Source organism: Homo sapiens, chromosome 15, assembly GCF_000001405.40.
Source record: "Homo sapiens chromosome 15, GRCh38.p14 Primary Assembly".
Classification (NCBI taxonomy): domain Eukaryota; kingdom Metazoa; phylum Chordata; class Mammalia; order Primates; family Hominidae; genus Homo; species Homo sapiens.
The window spans coordinates 33,630,971-33,649,647 of NC_000015.10; the positions used below are offsets into that span (position 1 = coordinate 33,630,971).

At 43.7% G+C, this 18,677-nt stretch overlaps 1 protein-coding gene across 20 annotated transcripts in view, besides 1 other annotated feature; it reads left to right on the top strand.

Annotated features, from left to right (window-relative positions):
* RYR3 (ryanodine receptor 3) overlaps nucleotides 1-18,677 on the top strand; it is a 555,136-nt gene that overhangs the window by 320,004 nt on the left and 216,455 nt on the right. For 17 of the 20 annotated variants that reach the window (XR_001751370.2, XR_001751371.3, NM_001036.6 and 14 more), the window contains 9 exons: nucleotides 240-323; nucleotides 1,979-2,138; nucleotides 3,616-3,763; nucleotides 4,644-4,849; nucleotides 5,406-5,580; nucleotides 13,341-13,549; nucleotides 15,381-15,556; nucleotides 16,454-16,490; nucleotides 18,102-18,265. Coding sequence is in view for 18 of the 20 variants with exons in the window: in NM_001036.6 (NP_001027.3) it covers nucleotides 240-323; nucleotides 1,979-2,138; nucleotides 3,616-3,763; nucleotides 4,644-4,849; nucleotides 5,406-5,580; nucleotides 13,341-13,549; nucleotides 15,381-15,556; nucleotides 16,454-16,490; nucleotides 18,102-18,265 (1,359 nt within the window). In the remaining 2 variants the exon portion in view is untranslated. The remainder of the gene's footprint in view (nucleotides 1-239; nucleotides 324-1,978; nucleotides 2,139-3,615; nucleotides 3,764-4,643; nucleotides 4,850-5,405; nucleotides 5,581-13,340; nucleotides 13,550-15,380; nucleotides 15,557-16,453; nucleotides 16,491-18,101; nucleotides 18,266-18,677) is intronic. The other 3 variants (XM_017022471.2, XM_024450015.2, XM_024450016.2) reach the window with 1 other exon arrangement.
* Nucleotides 927-1,146: a silencer, noted in NCBI's record as "fragment chr15:33924098-33924317 (GRCh37/hg19 assembly coordinates)". NCBI's record gives its function as "represses an EF-1alpha promoter that drives an FKBP-Casp9 reporter gene in an ReSE screen in K562 erythroleukemia cells {active_cell/tissue: K562}" and the evidence as "EXISTENCE:reporter gene assay evidence [ECO:0000049][PMID:32094911]".

Sequence of the window (18,677 nt, forward strand, 5' to 3'; positions counted from 1 at the left end):
TTGGTTTTCATATTGCCTATGGCTGGCTTTGCTCTGTAATCACAGAGTTGTAGCTGTGACAGAGACATATGGCTCACAAAGCCTAAGGCATTTACTCTGTGGCCCCTTACAGAAAAAGTCTACTGACCCCTGGGCTAAATGAATGGCTCTTGTCTGTTTTCAACTCGGATGTGAATTAGGGTTCCTGCTGTTCCTAACACTGCAGTTAACCTTAGTCTTCTCCTTCTGTTGTGTCACAGAACCCTCTTGGCCCTGGGGTGCCACATTGCTCATGTTAACCCAGCTGCTGAGGAGGATCTCAAGAAGGTCAAACTGCCCAAAAAGTAGGTGATTTTTTTTTTAATGGTTCAAGACTTTAATGCTTCAGCCTGGATTTTTAATCCAGGAGGGTGGTACCAAGACAGACAACAGCCCACATAGTTGCTAGCACCAGCTCAGAAGGGCTCCCCTGTTTCCTAGATGACACTGAAGCCCTCAGATAGAAGCCTGGTGAAGAAGTATTTCAGGGTTTTCCCTCTCTTTGCCCCTTCCACCTGGACCTCACACTAATATTGTTAGTTTTGAGCCAGGAGGTCAGATGGATGCACTGTCTTTGATCTATAAGAATAGCATTCAGCACAAAAGCTGAAAAGTGGTTCCCAGCCATGACAGAGAGTCACTCCTCTGGCATTGGACCAGCCTTGTAAGTCCTTTGTGGAAGGGGTATCTCTGCCACCATTCGTTTGACCTCCTATATCTGCCTGTGTCCTGCTCTGCCTCTCTCCCACTACATTCAGACACAGTTGCACATTTCTTGTCCTTGCACATTCAAATGCTTGCTCAGCGGCACATCCACTGGCCCCCTTGCTTGTTTGCTCTCATGCATGCCAGCAGATATGCAGATGGATTCACACACAGGTGTCATCATTACTTAGGAGCCAAGCAGTGCCAGCTTTAATCAAACGTTTATCTTCCCCCTTCTTTCCTCTTAAACTTCCAAGATCCACTCTCACACACGCAACTCCTAGTACCAAGAAAAGCACATCTGACAGGCTGCAGTGGAGGAACAGGCTGCTGGCCAGAGCTGCTGAGGTCAGGACACAACAGTCAGTGCATCCTGACTCTGCCCAAGGGCAGCATCCTGAAAAGGTGGATGCAGAACTTTATCTTATACCTACCTACAATAGACCCTGCATCTCATGTTGCTCAGAGGTCCTGGATGGATTGAGCCCTGGTCTGTGGTTCATCACTGTTGGATTCTGGCCCTGGCCTAGGCAGTCAATGGCCCTAGGGCCATAGATACCTTTAAACTCATATTCCCACATGGCCATGACAATCTGCTTTCCTAAGGTTTCACTCCGCAGTGTGCCCTAGTCTTCTGCATTTACACGATGTGTCTACATAGAGCTCTTCCACTTCTTCCCATTATCAGTCAACTTACAGACATTTGAGGCTGTAACTCTTGGACTGGACAGCTAACTGCTAAGATCACTTTAAGTTCAAAAATACTCTGACATCATTCTTTTTTTAATTCCAAAAGTAAAAGTTTAGCCTTTACTTTTTGACTGAGTGATTATTCTGTGCTGATTTATAAGGAGACATTTGACTCAAGGTCTTGTTCTTGCCAATCTGGTTTTGACTTTTTGTGTTTTTGTAGTGGGATGACAGGCTTCTGGTAATGTTGCAGCATGCTGAACGTGCCCATTATTTCTAGAGAACAGAAGTAGTTTTAGTAGAAATAAAGATGGTTTGTATTGACCATCTGCTTTTTTCAAGTCTTCTTTGAAATACGTTACATATGTTGGGAAGAAGGATGGTAGATTGGGGGCTTCATCTATAGACTTGAAACAGAGCTGAGCTATTTGTTCAGCCAAAGAGTGGGACCTGTGACTGTAGCCTTATTTGCGTAGCGTTCTTACCATGTGCTCTTGGTCTAAAATCCGGAATGAGAAACTCATGGAGATCTGTTAAAAATGTATACTTTTACATTTACTTGTAGCTATATGATGTCCAACGGCTATAAGCCAGCCCCTTTGGATTTGTCTGATGTGAAGCTGTTACCTCCTCAAGAAATTTTAGTGGATAAGCTTGCAGAAAATGCACACAATGTTTGGGCAAAAGACAGAATAAAACAAGGATGGACCTATGGCATCCAACAGGTAAGAAATTCTGGGTCAGGCATGCTGGAAAACTTAGAAGATATGATCATCCACGTGCCGTTTTGCTTTGGTGTGTGTTAGATCAGAAGGAAGAGTTTGCCTTTGCACTCTATCCCTCACACCTCAGTGTGTTCATTATTTATGGAATCATGGGGCTGGACAGAATTTGTAATAGTCACTTCATAGCTCAGCAGTATTTCTGGGATAGTCCCACGTATCTACTGGTGAGGATGAAATGGAGGGGAAGCTAGCCCAGCACAGCAGCAAACCAGCCTGCCCAAAAGCTTTTGCCTCCTTACTTCAGTCCATTGGGCCAACGATTTCTGGGCAGAGGTCTTGGCCTGAGCAGGAGGCAGCTTGAAACCCAGAGCACAGCTAGAAATTAGAAAGAGTTTAGTCCCAAACCACCTGGCACACCTCTTTCCTTGAGATGGTTTCTCTCATCTTAGTAATCACCAATGGTAGGGTTAGTATCAGGGACGTTCAGGAGTGGCTATGTGCACATTAGTTAATTCATACCGGAGCCACACATCTGGAAGCCAGGAAGAACACAACTGTGCAAACTATGGGGGGAGGAGGAGCAGCGGAGTAAAGAGGTTCAAAACAGCATGTTATACATATGAGTTTGGGTGACTTATCACTACAATTGTCCCTATTGTCTTCTTAGTCCCTCCTAAGGAACCGAGAGGGACATTACTACAAATGTGTGTCCTCTGCCATGAAATGAACACACTGTGGCTCTGCCACCTTTTCCGATGTTTCTCCATGAAGGCTGTTAAGCTGTCATGAGGAGGCTATAGCAACTTAAATCATGACATGATCTTCCATAGGGAAATCATTATACAAATCTCCAGCTGCTTTGCCTTGGGAATGGAGGTTTCTAACCAATTCTGTGATGCTTCATTTTATTCACAGACTGGTGTTATTTAAAGTGTTTTTTGTTTTGTTTTGTTTTTTTAATGAGACAGACTCTCTCTCTGTCGCCCAGGCTGGAGTGCAGTGGCATGACCTCAGCTCACTGCAACCTTCATCTCCCGGGTTCAAGTGATTCTCCTGCCTCAGCCTCCCGAGTAGCTGGGATTACAGGCATGTGCCACCACATCGAGCTAATTTTTGTATTTTTCATAGAGATGCGGTTTCACCATGTTGGCAGACTGGTCTCAAACTCCTGACCTCAAGTGATCCACCCACCTCGGCCTCCCAAAGTGCTGGGATTACAGGCATGAGCCACCACACCCGGCCAAAAGTGTTTTTTAATGCTAGCTTTGAGCATTAGTAAAATGTTTCCATTTATACTCATTTAATCTGGAGGAGAAGTGGCAATATGTACATTGCTAAATGTGAAGGCACTGAGGGAAGGGCTAATAGACCTAGAGCGACCAGAAAGCCAGGACTGTTGCTGGGAATATGTGAATAGGGTGAGCTGTGGTGAAGGTGAAATGTTTTCTTGGCACCTTTTTTCTCTGGCGTCACATAGGATTTGAAGAACAAAAGAAATCCCCGTCTGGTGCCATATGCATTACTGGATGAGCGTACCAAGAAGTCAAACAGGGACAGCCTGCGGGAAGCTGTGCGCACTTTTGTTGGTTACGGGTATAACATTGAGCCATCAGACCAAGAACTAGGTAATGAGTTGAGAGTGTTTATTCTGGCCCCAGTTTACTAAACAGGTCCTCTTCTTGGGGCATCCTAACTTCAAATAGGTCTAACTTGTACTATTGGAAATAGTATTGGGGCTGAAGAGCACTAGACTAAATGGTGTGATTTTTTTTATTGTTATCGGGGAGACCATGTTTGATATAAACCATCATCCCATTGACAGATTTTCTGCAATGAACACTTCTATGACTTATTCCCACAACGAATAGGTTATCTTCTAGGGTAGCTGAGCTTTTCAGAATACCTGATCAAAAACCAAGTCACTGTTTTTTTATCTTACTTGCCAAATGTGTGAATATCAGCTTACTTTTAGATCAGGTAATCACATCTCCAAATTAAAAGCTTGTTCAGATTAAAATCTGAACAACAGCTTAAAATTGATGAGCCTGTTATTGTCATCCCATGCCCCAGGAGGCACAGTAGGCCACAGGGGCAGAATTGTAAGTCATTAAGGGGATGGTTTTGAAGTCCAATCTGGGTTTATACCTTTGCTCCTCTGTTCATGGGCTCTGTGATGTTGAATAAATGATTTTACCTCTTTGAGCCTGAATTTCTTCATCAGTAAAATGAGGACAATATTAGCTACCTCATAGGATTATTGTGAGGGAAAACTGAGAAGTGGTCTCTAAAGGATCTACTATGAAGCAATCCCTCAGTCAGTGGTAGCTTGTATGGTGATGATGATGACGATCATCATGAACAGAATGCCATATTGGATAGTAGTCGACCTATGGTCAGTCTTAGATGTTCTCATCAAATTCTTTTGAGTAGTGCTACCTAATTATTGAAGGTCTACGTTCTCTCTTTCCCTTCCACACCCTCTGTTCGCCTTTCTTCTCACAATAGCTGACTCGGCTGTGGAGAAGGTCAGCATAGACAAGATCCGATTTTTCCGGGTAGAGCGATCTTATGCAGTGAGATCTGGAAAGTGGTATTTTGAGTTTGAAGTGGTGACTGGAGGAGACATGCGAGTCGGCTGGGCGAGGCCAGGCTGTCGACCTGATGTCGAGCTGGGGGCCGATGACCAAGCCTTTGTGTTTGAAGGCAACAGGGTGAGTTTATATATCTAGCAAACACCCATCCTCAGACCAAGTTTTCCTTCTCCAAACATTTTTCTGGAAGCTCAAATTACTGGATCTCTGGCTTCAAAGTGAGTGACCACCACCACTGGCTAATGTAGACATTGAATGGGCATCTCCTAGTGACTGTTTCTTTGCTCTTCACTCTGTTGAAGGGGAGCACTGTACCCCAAATCCTTTCTACAATCACCTTCATATCTACTTTTGCACCCAAGCCCATTGACTCCACTCCAGAGGTGACATAAAGATCACTATGCAGCTAGTATGTCAGGAAATCTTACCAGTTTTCCCTAGAGAGAATCCTGATTATTGCCATAGCTGTGACTAGAAATCAAGAGACTTGGGCTACCTTGTGTGTCTTGGTTTCATTTATAACATAGACCACTCCTCCTTGTTGGTTATCCTTGAGTGTCCCCTAGAAATCATGTAACCACTACTAGTTAGGAGATATCGAAGATATGGTCATTTCTCCAGCTGCTGGGGCCTCTAGAGACTCCATTTCTCTAAGCCCTAGAGTCTTGTTTTCTAGGGCCAGCGTTGGCATCAAGGAAGTGGGTATTTTGGGCGTACCTGGCAGCCAGGGGATGTGGTCGGATGTATGATTAACCTGGATGATGCTTCAATGATCTTCACACTGAATGGGGAGCTGCTGATCACCAACAAAGGCTCTGAACTTGCCTTCGCTGACTACGAGATTGAGAATGGTAAATCTAACACCCTCTGCCAACCCCAGCTCCATGAGGCTGGAGGAAAATATAGGGAGAGCTGAGCGACCTGCTCTACTTCCTTATTCGGTCTACACTGTCCTTTGCATATTTGAAAACCCTAATGGTGAAGACGATCCCATAGACTAGCAATTTCAAAGAATTAGGGGAGATAATAGTGATAGTTGGTGTGTGCAGCATACATACACATTCTGAACTCTCAGATAGGTTAACCAAGAAGCTAATTCCCTCCCCTGTGTCTTGGCATTTTAAGATTCTCCAGGTTTCCCAGTATTACAAAGAAAACACTTATTGTATATGACTAATGTCATTGACAGGAGAGAAAAATCAGTGAATTAAAGAATTATCCTTTTATTCTGATTTGAATTGTCAGTCTGCATGTTTGTGTAATTGAACTTGATGCTTTGAAGAGAATGATTGAAACACAAAAGTTAGATTTAGCTATTTCCTTGAATGAAATACAATTTATTTTGAAATTCAGACACACTGTGAAACCCAACCAGAGTTGCATTTTTTAATGTCCATGAATAGACCACAGTCAGGGGCACGCTTCCAGCTACACAAAGGAGGAAGTGGAGCTTATTATTTCTTGTCTATATAACTACATTATGTACACAAGACTGTTGGTATATAGGGGAAAGAGTGTACTGCAAGTCAGTAGACTTCTCCTAACAAGCTCATTGGCTCCCAAGGAGTATCTGTTTGACCTCTCTGAGCTTTACTTTCTTCATCTATATCAGAGAATAAAAGCATTGATGAAATAAAATCTAATGTTCTTCCCAGATATAAAATTCAACGGCAGTGACTTAACACCTGCTGTGTGAATGCCCTTATGCCTGGTGCTTTGCCGCACTGTTTCCTCCTCACGGACGAGAAGGGGGCTGTGCTGGATCAGGAGACCTGGACGCTCACCTGCCTCTGCTTCTGCCTACCCAGGACATCTTAGTTGACTTTATTTATCCATTTAGGAACTCATTTTTATGTCTGTAGATGATGAGGGCTCCTTGTAGCCCTACATTTCTGAGACTTTACAGAAAGAAACATTTCCTACCTAGAAAGCTAAAACAATACAACTGCATAGGCAAGAGAGCACAAATACATGAAACTGTGTGTATGTAATATACATGCTCTTTACAGAGCGTTTTTAGCTTTATAAATGACTTTTGCACTTTTTTTTCAGACACCTATTGTTTAAAGTATGCATATTCAACTGTACCTTTCAAGGTGTTTCTTTTTTTTTATTATTATACTTTAAGTTTTAGGGTACATGTGCACAACGTGCAGGTTTGTTACATATGTATACATGTGCCATGTTGGTGTGCTGCACCCATTAACTCATCATTTAACATTAGCTATATCTCCTAATGCTATCCCTCCCCGCTCCCCCCATCCCACAACAGGCCCCGGTGTGTGATGTTCCCCTTCCTGTGTTCATGTGTTCTCATCCTTTCAAGGTTTTTCTAAGAGCCAAATATTTGGAGAAATATAAAGCTTACAAGTCCGTTGTATTTTCCTAAAAAGACAAATGACTAAAGTCAAATGGAGTCATATTTTAATGCCTTCCAAAGAGGTTTAAAATCAAAATTTTAAAGAAATAACTCTGTTTTTGCAGACAGGTGAGAATGATGTTGCCAGAAGAAGGAATGGCCTGTGTGCTGGTTCAGAGGCAAAGGAGAGGATTTCTGTGGGTGGACATCAGGGCAGTGTACAAGGACAACCAGGTGCTTTCCAAGCACCCACCTCATGCAGTCCCCTCCCTCTGAGGCCAGGAGGAAAACAGCCTAGGAGATTCAGGCACATCTCCAAAGAAAGTCATTCTCTGGGGTAGAAAGAGTCCAAAAATCAGGGCCTTTTCCAGGCCCTGCTATTGTGTGAACTGGAAGAGGTTACTTGTCTGTTGAACTCTGAGGAGGAGATGAGAATCTCATATGTTGTGCAGAGTTACAAGAACTTTGTAAAGTCCAAAGCCTTAATACTCAAAGTATGGTCTGCTTGTTAGCAATGAGGAATCTCAGCCCCACCCCAGACCAGAATCAGAATCTGCATTCTGACGAGACACTGGTGATTTGCATGCACACTGAAGTATGAGAGCAGTGGTCTAAAGCATATGCAAATGTGAGTAGTAGCAGTATTAAGGAGCTCATTTTTTAGTTGTAAAAAAAGACGATAATAATGCAGAGCAGTAAGTTATCAATGACAAGTGACTAATACAGAATGAAAAGTCTATATGAATGGGATTTGAATTGCATGTTAACTACAGAATACAAGATGTCTATGTGTAAGGAGAAGGCTAGTCCTGACAGGGGATGTAACAAGAGTAGTTCTGTGGCTCCAGGAAGCTATAGGAAAGGGTAGAAGATTTGTGTGTGGAATGTATGGATGATGAAGCTGGAAAGGTAGATAAGGTGCAGATTATAGGCTCAAATACTGAGACTCAGCCTTTTCGTTCAAGAAACTATTGTCTTCTCTGAGCCAAGCACCCTTGGACTTTACCCTCTAGGAAATGAGGGGCCATTATGGGGTTTGAGCAGAGGAATACTATAGAGGGGAGGGACATTTGAGCATAACCCGGCTTTGAGAGAGCCTCTGTATTTAATGAAAGTGATGTCCCATAGGCCTGTTGTGTACAGGGATGTGATTTGACCTTCAGAATAACAAAGTATTATTAGGATGCTGTTTAATAATAGAATTGTACTGTAATGTGTTAGCACATTATACTGTCGTATCATATTGCCCTTTAATAACACAGAGACAAGATAATTGGAAAGCTCTTTCAGTTCCGCAATGCCTTGTGAGTTGGTGGAAGGGTAGTTATAAGGAAGTCGACATGCCATTCTTTGATAACAGTAGCCCCAAGGCCTGGAATAACCACATAGCATCTCTCTTCTCTCTGTGTCAAGTGGAAAGAGGTAGCAATTCTTGCCTTGAGTTGTTAAGAAAAGCATCTGTTGAAAATAAAACATTTCATGCATTGTAGCGCCTACCTCCCCCCACCCCGTAAAGCAAAATGCCCGACGTGCTTGTGTTCTTCTGGTCACCAGCATGTCAGCTTTGATTTCAGTCATTACCCCAGTGGGAGCTGGGCCATGGGAAGCCTTTTGCCCTTTTGGGGAAGCAGTGGGGACAGATATTGTAGTTCATGGCTGTTTTTACCTCTGGCTTACTTACAAGTTGTCATTTCCATCCTCTTATGCATCATAGATTATATGCCTTTATCTGCTTCATTAGAATTTTCTAATTAATGTTCCCTCCCCTGGTCCCTAGACTGGACCATCACAGCTCTCAGTGTTGTCACCTAGAAGTATCTGAGAGCTCAGAAGCCTCCAAGGCAAACCCTTTGCTATTAGCCTTCTCTTTTCCTCTGTTTAAAGGAAAGGAACATAAAATCCTGAACATTCTGCTAGACCTCAGAATGCGACGTCTGGAAGAGGCTTTGGTGTGGTCTCCTGTGCTGCCTCTCTGCCAGGCACTCCCCTGAGGGACATGCTGCCTCTTGCTACAGCTTTGGTGTCTGCAGGAGCAGCCTGCCAGGCTGTTCCTGCCCATTGACCTGTCGGGTTTAACAGATCCCTCATTTCTGTTGGCAGCTTTTCAATAGGCACAAAATGAAACTTATCTGCAGGAAGTGTCACTGCCATCTGCAGGCACACACGCTGGTACCCAGGGTCCCCTGTCATTCTCTCTCCAGATGGGTCTTGTGTTTCAGAAAGCGGCTGTGGCAGGGGAGCGTGGCCTGTTGTTTCCTTTGTTTTCTACAAGGCTTGTGACCATCTGCCTGTCATCTCCTGTAACTCTGTCTTTGAAAGGCTTACCAGGAAATAGGAAGGAATGGGTATAGCATGTGCTGCTGGATTGAAACTCCCAGAAACACCCCAGGAATGGTCTGAGCGGTCATCTACCTCCCTCTCTCTAAGATGTCAGCTTTTCCCTTGCTGGTAGCTATTCTCTTTTATGTCTTCCTTTAGTTTAAAATGGATTGAAAGTGGATCTGTCCTTTGGATTTTTGAGAGAGCTGACTTCTTTGCAATCTCCTGGAATTATAAGATTACCCCCCTGCTCTCCCTCTTCCTAATCAGAAAACCAGTATGAGGCCTTATAATACCAAGTGTATCAGAACTGGGGGTCCTGTACAAAATGTAAATGCATATATTCTTGCCATTTCCTTCCTGGGACAAGAACTTCTGTATACATCTTGGCCGAAGACTGTGCCTTTTGCAAATTTTCTTCTCAAACCTCTTCAGAGTTGTCAGCATAATTATATCTATTAGGATGCATGTAGGGAGGTGGTATTCTTTGCCCTCTTATTATATTTTCTTCTTCTCCAATCTCATTTGAGGCTATGGGTTCATTAAGCTGTGTGCAATATGGAAATCCTTCTTTATGACAGATAGTAATGCCACATGACCTTGCCCAGTAGGTCCTTTTATCCAGGTGAATTCTAGAGAGCCATGTGGTGAGCTGTGTACAGGTAGCCCTTTTCCTCTACGGGGCCTGGAGCGTGTTGTGGTTATGGGTCTCCATCTGTCTAATCTAGAGACAAACAGGTGAACTCCCTGACACGTTGGAAAATCATTTGAAAAGCAATGTAACTCAAAACAAGTTAGCTTAGACGACAATTAGAAAGCAGGCATCCTGGCTTCAGTCCCCGTTGCTTGCTGTGGACTCCTGCTCAGGCAGCTTTGTTCACATGCTGACTCTGCAGTTTACCAGGTAGCAGATGTTGAGCCCCAGTCCACTTTCTAGGTCTCAGTTTCCTCATCTGTAAAATTGGCATAATAATGAGATGTATCTGTAGAGCACTAAGCCTGACATTTACAAGGTATTTGGTAAATATTTGCTATTGTGGTTTATCATTCCATGGTTGTTCCCCCTTATCTGTCTTTCATGAAGAGTTATAAAGTTACAAGATTTTTAAATGCCTCAAATAAAGAAGTTTTAGAAATGGAGATACTAGCTAGATCCTCTTAGCCAGGTGGAGGGAGCTGATTAAATGTATCTAGTTATCGAATCGTTTTCTCCAAGAGAAAGCGCTGGTGCTTAATGAGAATTAATCTTTCCTCTCTGTCCTTTCAGATTTTCTCTTTTCTGACTCAAGCCTTAGATTTAGCTGTTCTGCTGCTGTTTTCCAGAGCTGGCCCAGCTGCGTCCACTTAGCCTCCCGGAGGTCCCCAATACTCTGTGCCTCCCATTGCTCTTGCATCCATGACTTTTGTTACCCTGTCTTTTCCCATGGAGTGTGCAACTCTCCCTGTAGAGAGGGCTTCTGCCCCACAGGGACAACACTTTACTCTCTAGTGAATGCAGTCCTCTGGCCCTGGTCATAATTACTGTTTAAATCTGGGGCATTCATCCCCTGAAGACTCACTCCCTCTCACACACTGACTGGCAGCTGGCCTATGACTCGAGGATAAAGGATCTCATCCCATTTTTGTCACTTGCCCTTCCCGTGACTGTGGTCAAGTCCATTAACTCCTCATGTTCTTAGTTTTAGCCTTATTAAAGTGCTGTCCTCTCTACTGGTGCTTAGGAATGAAGAGGAGCTCAACATCCTTAGAAAAAAAGAAGTCTTATGCAGTTATTACCTTTTCCCCCTTACATTGTCATTGGGTCTGTGACTAGGACATTATTTTTATGTCCTGAGGTCAAATCTTCATTGTTGCTGCTTCCCACTGAGGCTTTTACCCCTGCTGCTCGCTTATTGCACCATCCAGGTTCATGGAGAATGGAATAGAGAGGTTTTCTTAAGCTGTCCTACTCTGTGCTCACATCAAGGCTGGACTATTTCATGATCTTCATGTTCATGGCTCCAAGATAAACCTATACTGGTGGTTTTCTTGGTCTAGTTACCTCCCTTAGTAGAATAACTAAAATACTGTCTTGAGATTAGGTATGATTTGCAGCAAACACATTCCCTCTTTTATATTCCATTCCTTGTCCCCATTTCTGTAAGCTCCTTGGGATTGGGATACTTTCTTCTTCCTTCACATCTTGTCATGGCACATAGCAAAACTGTCTTTCCCAATGCGGAGCCTAGGAATTTTACTGGCAAGCAATTCTTATTCTACACTGTAATCAGATTTCCAAAGGTTCTTTATTTATAAACATCTCTGTCTATAGAAAGGAGATGGTTTCATCCATCGCAGCCCCTATCACAAAAATACAGAAGCATAGTAGTGCTCAGGATGTTACATGCACAGGTGCTTGTCCAAGGGACCAGTCCGTTGACTGTCCTGAGAGGTAGGGGTCCTAGTCTGTCCTCAGTTGGCAGTGCTGTGAGGAGGCTTTTTCTACAAACATCACTGCCATTTTGCTAGGACTGCATTGACATTCTCTTTCATTTAGACACGGTATTAAACACGTCTGTATCCTAAGTGAGTTTATAGTTTCTAAAAGCAACCACATAGCTTGCAAGAGATTTACGTTTCACTTATGTAACTTGTTATTTACATAGAAATTTCGTGGCTTAGATAATAGTATATAAGCCTCCCATCTAGGAAGAGTGCATCTTGGCCTTGGTGTCTGTGAAAGAAAGTTTTTACTGTTAGATGTAAATGCTCCCAAAATTGGCTTTTAAATGTCCCCCGAAATGACCACTCTTATCCTAGGGAGTGACACCACTTTCTTCTGTAGGGAACTCCAGCCCCTGCCTCATCCAGCAGCCTCAGAACTTCTCCTACCCTTCCAGGCGCTCTCTGCAGCCTCCAGCGGTCCTCCAGCCACCTGCCTGCCTCTCACATCCTCCCAAATCCAACATAATTAGCGCTTTCCCTGTGTTGCTGATTTGTTGGTCCACAATTATGATTTATAAATAGCCCACAAACAAGAACACCAAACAATTTGAACTTCTGCTTTGGTCTGTTTTGAGTGGTAGTTTTTTAATACGATCAAGCTACAGATGTGAGTTTGGAGAGATGATAGCTGTAGGAAGGAAGAGAGGAGCTTTCTCTGGCTCCTGCTTGAAACTCTGCCTTCCTGAGTAGGCGAGGAGGAGAGTGGGCTAGGAAACTGGGTGTTTGTAAATTGTATTTTGTTAACAAGCACAATCATAGTGCTAGCATTTAAAACTTCTTAGAATCCTACTCTCGAAACGTGAAGGACCTCTCATGTCACTGGGGAAGATGCTGGGTCCAGAAAAGTCGGGCAACTTGCACCAAGTCATCCTTTTTTTATTTTAAATAAATTTTATTTTGTATATTTAAGGTATACAACGTGATGTTATGAAATACATAGAGATAGTAAAAAGGCTGCTACAGTGCAGCAAGATAACATATTCATCATCTCACATAGTTACCCATCTTTTTGTTTTTGTGGCAGAAAATCTCACCAAGTCATTCTTTAGGCTCACTGCATTGTTTTGGGTAGTAGTTAAATTTTCCCAGGGCCTGAGATCAATTTTAACTAAGGGACAGATAAAGAATTTCACTTTTTCTCTTACTGGTTTTGCCTTTCCAGTTGATATTTATTTATATCTTACGAATATTCTTAACTGGATCATCGTTTTTCCCAAGTCATTTTGAACCAAGCTCTCTTATCTTTCCTATGTACCATGGGCAGTGGTGGTCTCCATGTGGCCTCCTGTTGTTGATTTTATGTGCCAGGAAGAAAGAAAGAAAGAACGGGTTGTGTCACATCTTTCCTACTGGGAGTCAAAGCCCTTAAGGAAGCAAAGATTCAGCTGCCTCGGAGTTTCCTGGGATGGTGCCTTCGGGCTAAAGCAGGTCTCTCTAACTCTTCTGCAGGCTTCGTGCCCATCTGCTGTCTGGGTCTATCTCAGATCGGCCGCATGAATCTCGGGACAGATGCCAGTACCTTCAAGTTTTATACCATGTGCGGTCTCCAAGAGGGCTTTGAGCCTTTTGCTGTCAACATGAACAGAGATGTTGCTATGTGGTTCAGCAAGCGCCTCCCGACGTTTGTCAACGTGCCAAAGGATCATCCACACATAGAGGTAATGTTACACAATGTGTGTGGCCCTGGCAGGTCAGGTGGGCCAAGGCCCTAAGCTTGCCCTAAGTCTCCTGTCAACAGGCAGCTGCTTACCTAAGTCTATGCCCTGGCCACTTACCAGCCACCTCCCCTCTGGCCCTCAGAGCTGCAGTTGCAGGCATCTTAATTGGGACAGCTCAGTGGCATCTTACGAGAGGCATCAGCCTTGCACATAAAACCTTACAGATCAACTCTCAACATTTTGGGCCACTGAATTTGCTCTGGATGTTCCTATACTGTGTTGTCATAGTAATATAGTATTCGGAGACCTTAAACTTTTCTGTTTTTTTTTCTTTTTTTAAGTTCGGGCTGGGTGTGGTGGCTCACACGTGTAATCCCAGCTACTTGGGAGGCTGAGGTGGGAGGATCCCTTGAGCTCGGGAGTTCGAGGCTGCAGTGAGCTATGATCACATCACTGCACTGTAGCCTGGGTGACAGAGAGAGACCTCGTCTCTTGAAACAATTTTTTTTATTAAAAAAAAATTTAAAAGTTCCATACCTATATTCAAGATTATATATACTGAACATGTATGTTGTTACCCACTCATGACTTGATGTCTTGTAGGACCTATTCAATTTTTTGATGGTGTTGCCAGGATTTTAAGCTGACGTCTGATCATTGATTAATCTATCCCCATCTTCTAAGGGGAGCAGAGAGGAGCCAAAGATTGTAAGGAGCCTAACTTTAGTTCTGGCCCTACATGGACTAAGACTTGCCTCTGTTTTGGTTCACAGACTATGGTTTTTCCATGGTGGATAGGGGGAGAGTGTTGATTTAAAAAAAATGCCAGACAAATCAGCCCCATTGCAGCTTTAGTCAAGTTAGATTCAGTGGTTTGCTTCAACCTCACTGTAAGTTCCTTAACTCATCCTCCCATCTGAATTCAGCAAGCATCAACCTTAATGCCCCACTTTCTTCCTCAGTTAAATAGTAGAGACTTTTCTCTCTCTGATTCCTCCCTAACCGTTACTTTAGAAAAGTGACTCTTAAACTGTTGGAGGTCATGAACCCCTAGAGGCCCTCTACTTAGAAAAATAGAATTGAAGTATTCTTATAGGACCCAGGACAAGAACAGTTCTATAGAGAGCAAAGAAGAGGCTCAGATTATAAGAAAATTATTATTGTAAGCCTCAGTTCACTTCCCTTGTATCCCCCCATTTCCCTCTCCACACACAAATTGCAAAAATCAATTTCTGACCTTTTCTCCCCTAACTCTGCCCCCTGCAATGCTTGTGCCTAGGAACTGCTGATTTCCTAGTATTAGGAGGAGGCTCCAGGAGCCTCAGCCTTCAGGCCATGACTGTGGCAGAGATGAGAGCTGGGCTGGGTGGGGAGGGTGTCCTCCTCAGGAGCTGGACATCCTTCCTGAGCTTTGGGATTACTTTTTCCCCTTCCCTTAGATGTTTTCATGCCCAGTGACAAGCATAGTCCTTGGAAAGATTATCTTCTTTAGCCACTTGCCCCCTGACCTAAAAGGTTAGCCTCTGTGAACACTATGCTGTGTCTCCCAGATGCCACCCCCCTCTGGCATTTATTCTCCACCCTTGGCCTTACAGAGAACCCAGTGAGCATGTTTTTAAATCTCTAATTTCCCTAGCCAGGAGCAGATCTGTTTCTTCCTACGGGACAAGGCCCAAGTAATGATGAGAATCATAGTTTGGTTATCACTGGACACAACTTACTTCTGTAGTTCACAGAATGCCTTGCCATGTGCATGTCCACGAGGGAAAAAGGGACTGGGTCAAGGTCAGGCCCTTTGGTATGTCAAGGTAAGGACTCGTCCTGTTTCCAGGTCATGAGGATTGATGGCACCATGGACAGCCCTCCGTGTCTCAAGGTGACGCATAAGACATTTGGCACACAGAATAGCAATGCCGACATGATCTATTGCCGCTTGAGCATGCCTGTCGAGTGCCACTCCTCCTTCAGCCACAGCCCCTGTCTGGACAGTGAAGCTTTCCAGAAAAGGTGAGGGTGAGGCCTCCAGTTCTCAGAGGCACTCATTGTATCTCCTGTAAAGTGGGCTTTCTGCTTTTTACCCTAACTCAGCATAGGAACTCCACTGATAGGGTTCTCTCTGCTTTCAGTCAGGTAAAAAAGAAAATGAGAATGTATGTGCACGCATGTACATGCAAGTACACGTGTGTGTTTGTGCAGTGCATAATTAAGGCACCAATCATGCTAAACAGACACATCTGGTGGAAAAGTTTCTGCTCTTCTTGAACTCTGAGCCCCTACCTTCCTTGCTGCCCACAATTCCTGTGTTTTGTGAGTGCATAAGAGGGTGCAATTATTTTTGCTTTTGTGTGCAATTAGAAGTTTCTGGAGGCAGATACTGCCTTCTTTGCATAGCTATGGGCATTGTCCAACTCTGCAGCTGTGTGATTCATGGGCAATGTGACTTCTTTCTTCCTGATCAGTAACATATCCCTTGCTGTCTTTCTTTCCCCTGATGTCTATTTTTAATCATTGATGTATGTCTGCTGCCTGGAGCCGTCTTGTTGGGGTTTCCTCTAGAGTTTTGCTTTCTACCAAGCTTTTAAACAAGCACAGCTACTTGTGAGAATAGGATAACCTATTCAGAGGTATCCCTACTTATATTATTGCGGTCTTCCGTCCTCACTCTCAACTTACCATCTAACTTACCATCTGGGCTGAGGGATAAGAGTTGGGAGTCACATCCCTGCCTTGTGTTAACAGCTTGCAAATGAATAAGTCCCAAGACTGGTTGCAATCACTTGTGTTTAGGGAGTAGCCAGTTTCCTAAACTTGACTTGATCATTGAAGGTAGATCAAGTTGCCTGTCGGAACTGTGGGATTCTCAATACAGCTGAATAACTAAAACATGGATTATCTTTCCCCCAGGAAACAGATGCAAGAAATACTCTCTCATACAACAACAGTAAGTAAATGTGCTCAATTATGGTTTTAATTATTTGATTCTTTGTTGTGCCTGGTAATATGCCCCTTACAGCAAAGATCCGTCTAGAGATCCTCTTTAATTGCCAATTACTCTGTCTTTTAATATCCATCTTGATGCTTCCAGAACACATCTGTGGCATTTCTCAAGTGGGGGAAAGACAGTTATTCAGTGCAAAGCAAAAGCTCTACCTGGAGCTCCTAACTGGGCATCATTGGATACTTGTTGCCCATTTGCCATCAGGGATCCAACACTGCCTTTCTGATTGAAATGAGCATCAGTTGGAGGGCGCTCAATTAAATCTTTTGGTTTGCCTTTTTTGTGTAAACTTTTGTGAGTCAGCTGCCCCATGTCTCTGTGCAGTGCTAGGAGTGATGTTAAAAGCAATCAAATGAGAAGAAGAGCAAGAAGCCATCGCAGAAGATGGAAGCTACTTTTGGTCCCTAGACAGTAGTCAGAAAGCAACTCCTGATTTTTCTTTCTATCTCTCATTCTTCTTTAGCATCTGGCAAAAAAAAAAAAAAAAAAAAAGCCTGTGGAAGACATGTGTGTCAACCCTTCTGTAAAGTTATCCAACAATCCTGAATTTGTAGGTTAACTCTCATCAGGAACAAGATTCTTGCTGCAGTAAATCACTCACTTAGTCTGTGGGGGACACTGTGCTCGGCACATTGTTGCCTTCCCATTTAATCTCCATTTAAAATTAATCAGCAAGCCCTGAAATGGATAATATTATGCACAATATTATGCACAGAGAGGACAAATGATTTGTCCAAAGTCACATGATGAATACCTGGCAGTGTCAAGATTCAAGCCCAGGTTTGTCTAGCCGACCCTTTTTTCTTCCAGTCAAGAAAATTTGACAGACTACAAATAAGAGCCACTTAATTAAGAATGAATCTGCTCAGTTTCATAAGGAAAATGATGAGCTAGTCACCTGCCTCAGAGCTGTAGCTATTGTTGTAATATAGTGATAACCCCATGGATTGTATGAGCCCTGCCAAAAACTGCTGTACTTCTCAATACTGACTGTAGTTGAGTGTGACAGCTACACAGAGCACATTTGGCCATGAGATGAACTTTTTCTTGAGCAACCTCTTTCAAGACTTTCCAGAAAAAAGCACTAGACTTCCCTTTAGAAGGAGAAAGTGTAACGGGGATGCTCTGACCCTTGACCACTCTTTCTCTGAGGGCAGGGACTGTGCCCGCTCTCTCCTGCAGCTCAGATCTGCCCTGGTGCCCAGGAGAGGGTTAGGGCTCTGTGCTGCCATTCTGAGCAGCTGCCACTGCTTCCATCCACAGCATCTCCTGATTTCAGCACCAGTGTCTTCTGGGCAAAGGGTGGTAGATTAGCTTAAGCATTTGCTTTGCCAGATGCTACAGCAAAATAGAAAGGAAAAATTAGGAAGCCAGAATCCCTATTCAGCCTTCCTTCCAGATCTAGCATCTAGCCTACCTCTACTAGTGTGCACTTTTCCAGAAAAAAAAGGGGGGGCCAAGTGAGCTGCTGTGTTATTTCTGCCTCTTGGGCCCCCTATCTTCAACTGGATGGGGGCTGGGGGCCATTGACTCCCCTCTGCGGTCTCTCCACAGCAGTGCTACTACGCCATCCGCATCTTTGCTGGACAGGATCCATCCTGTGTCTGGGTCGGATGGGTGACTCCAGACTATCACTTGTACAGTGAAAAGTTTGACCTGAATAAAAACTGCACAGTGACTGTCACCCTAGGGGATGAAAGAGGCCGGGTCCATGAAAGGTAAGGGGGCTCCCAAGTGGCAGGGTTAGCCATCGGGCTTCTCAGTCCCTCCCCCCAGTCTTTTTCTTCCACCCCACACCCAAAGAAGGAAACATCTTGGCCTCTCTTAAAAGGAGAAAATGAAGCACAGACTTCAAAGAAACAAACCGGTACTATGACAGTGAGAAAAAGTGCTAGTGAAAATAGAGAAGAGTTTCATCATGTGTATAAATCGTGACCCAGAGATGGAAAATATAGACAGAGAATGGGGTACGTGATCTCTCTCAGAGTTTTTTTCCAGGACTTCTGGGCAAGTCCCAGTTTCTACAACATCAGAACAAGACAGAGAAAATCTCTGGGTGCTTGAGAGAAGTTGATTCAGAAGAAATAAAAAGATATACCACATCACACACTAACTGATATACTCAGAACT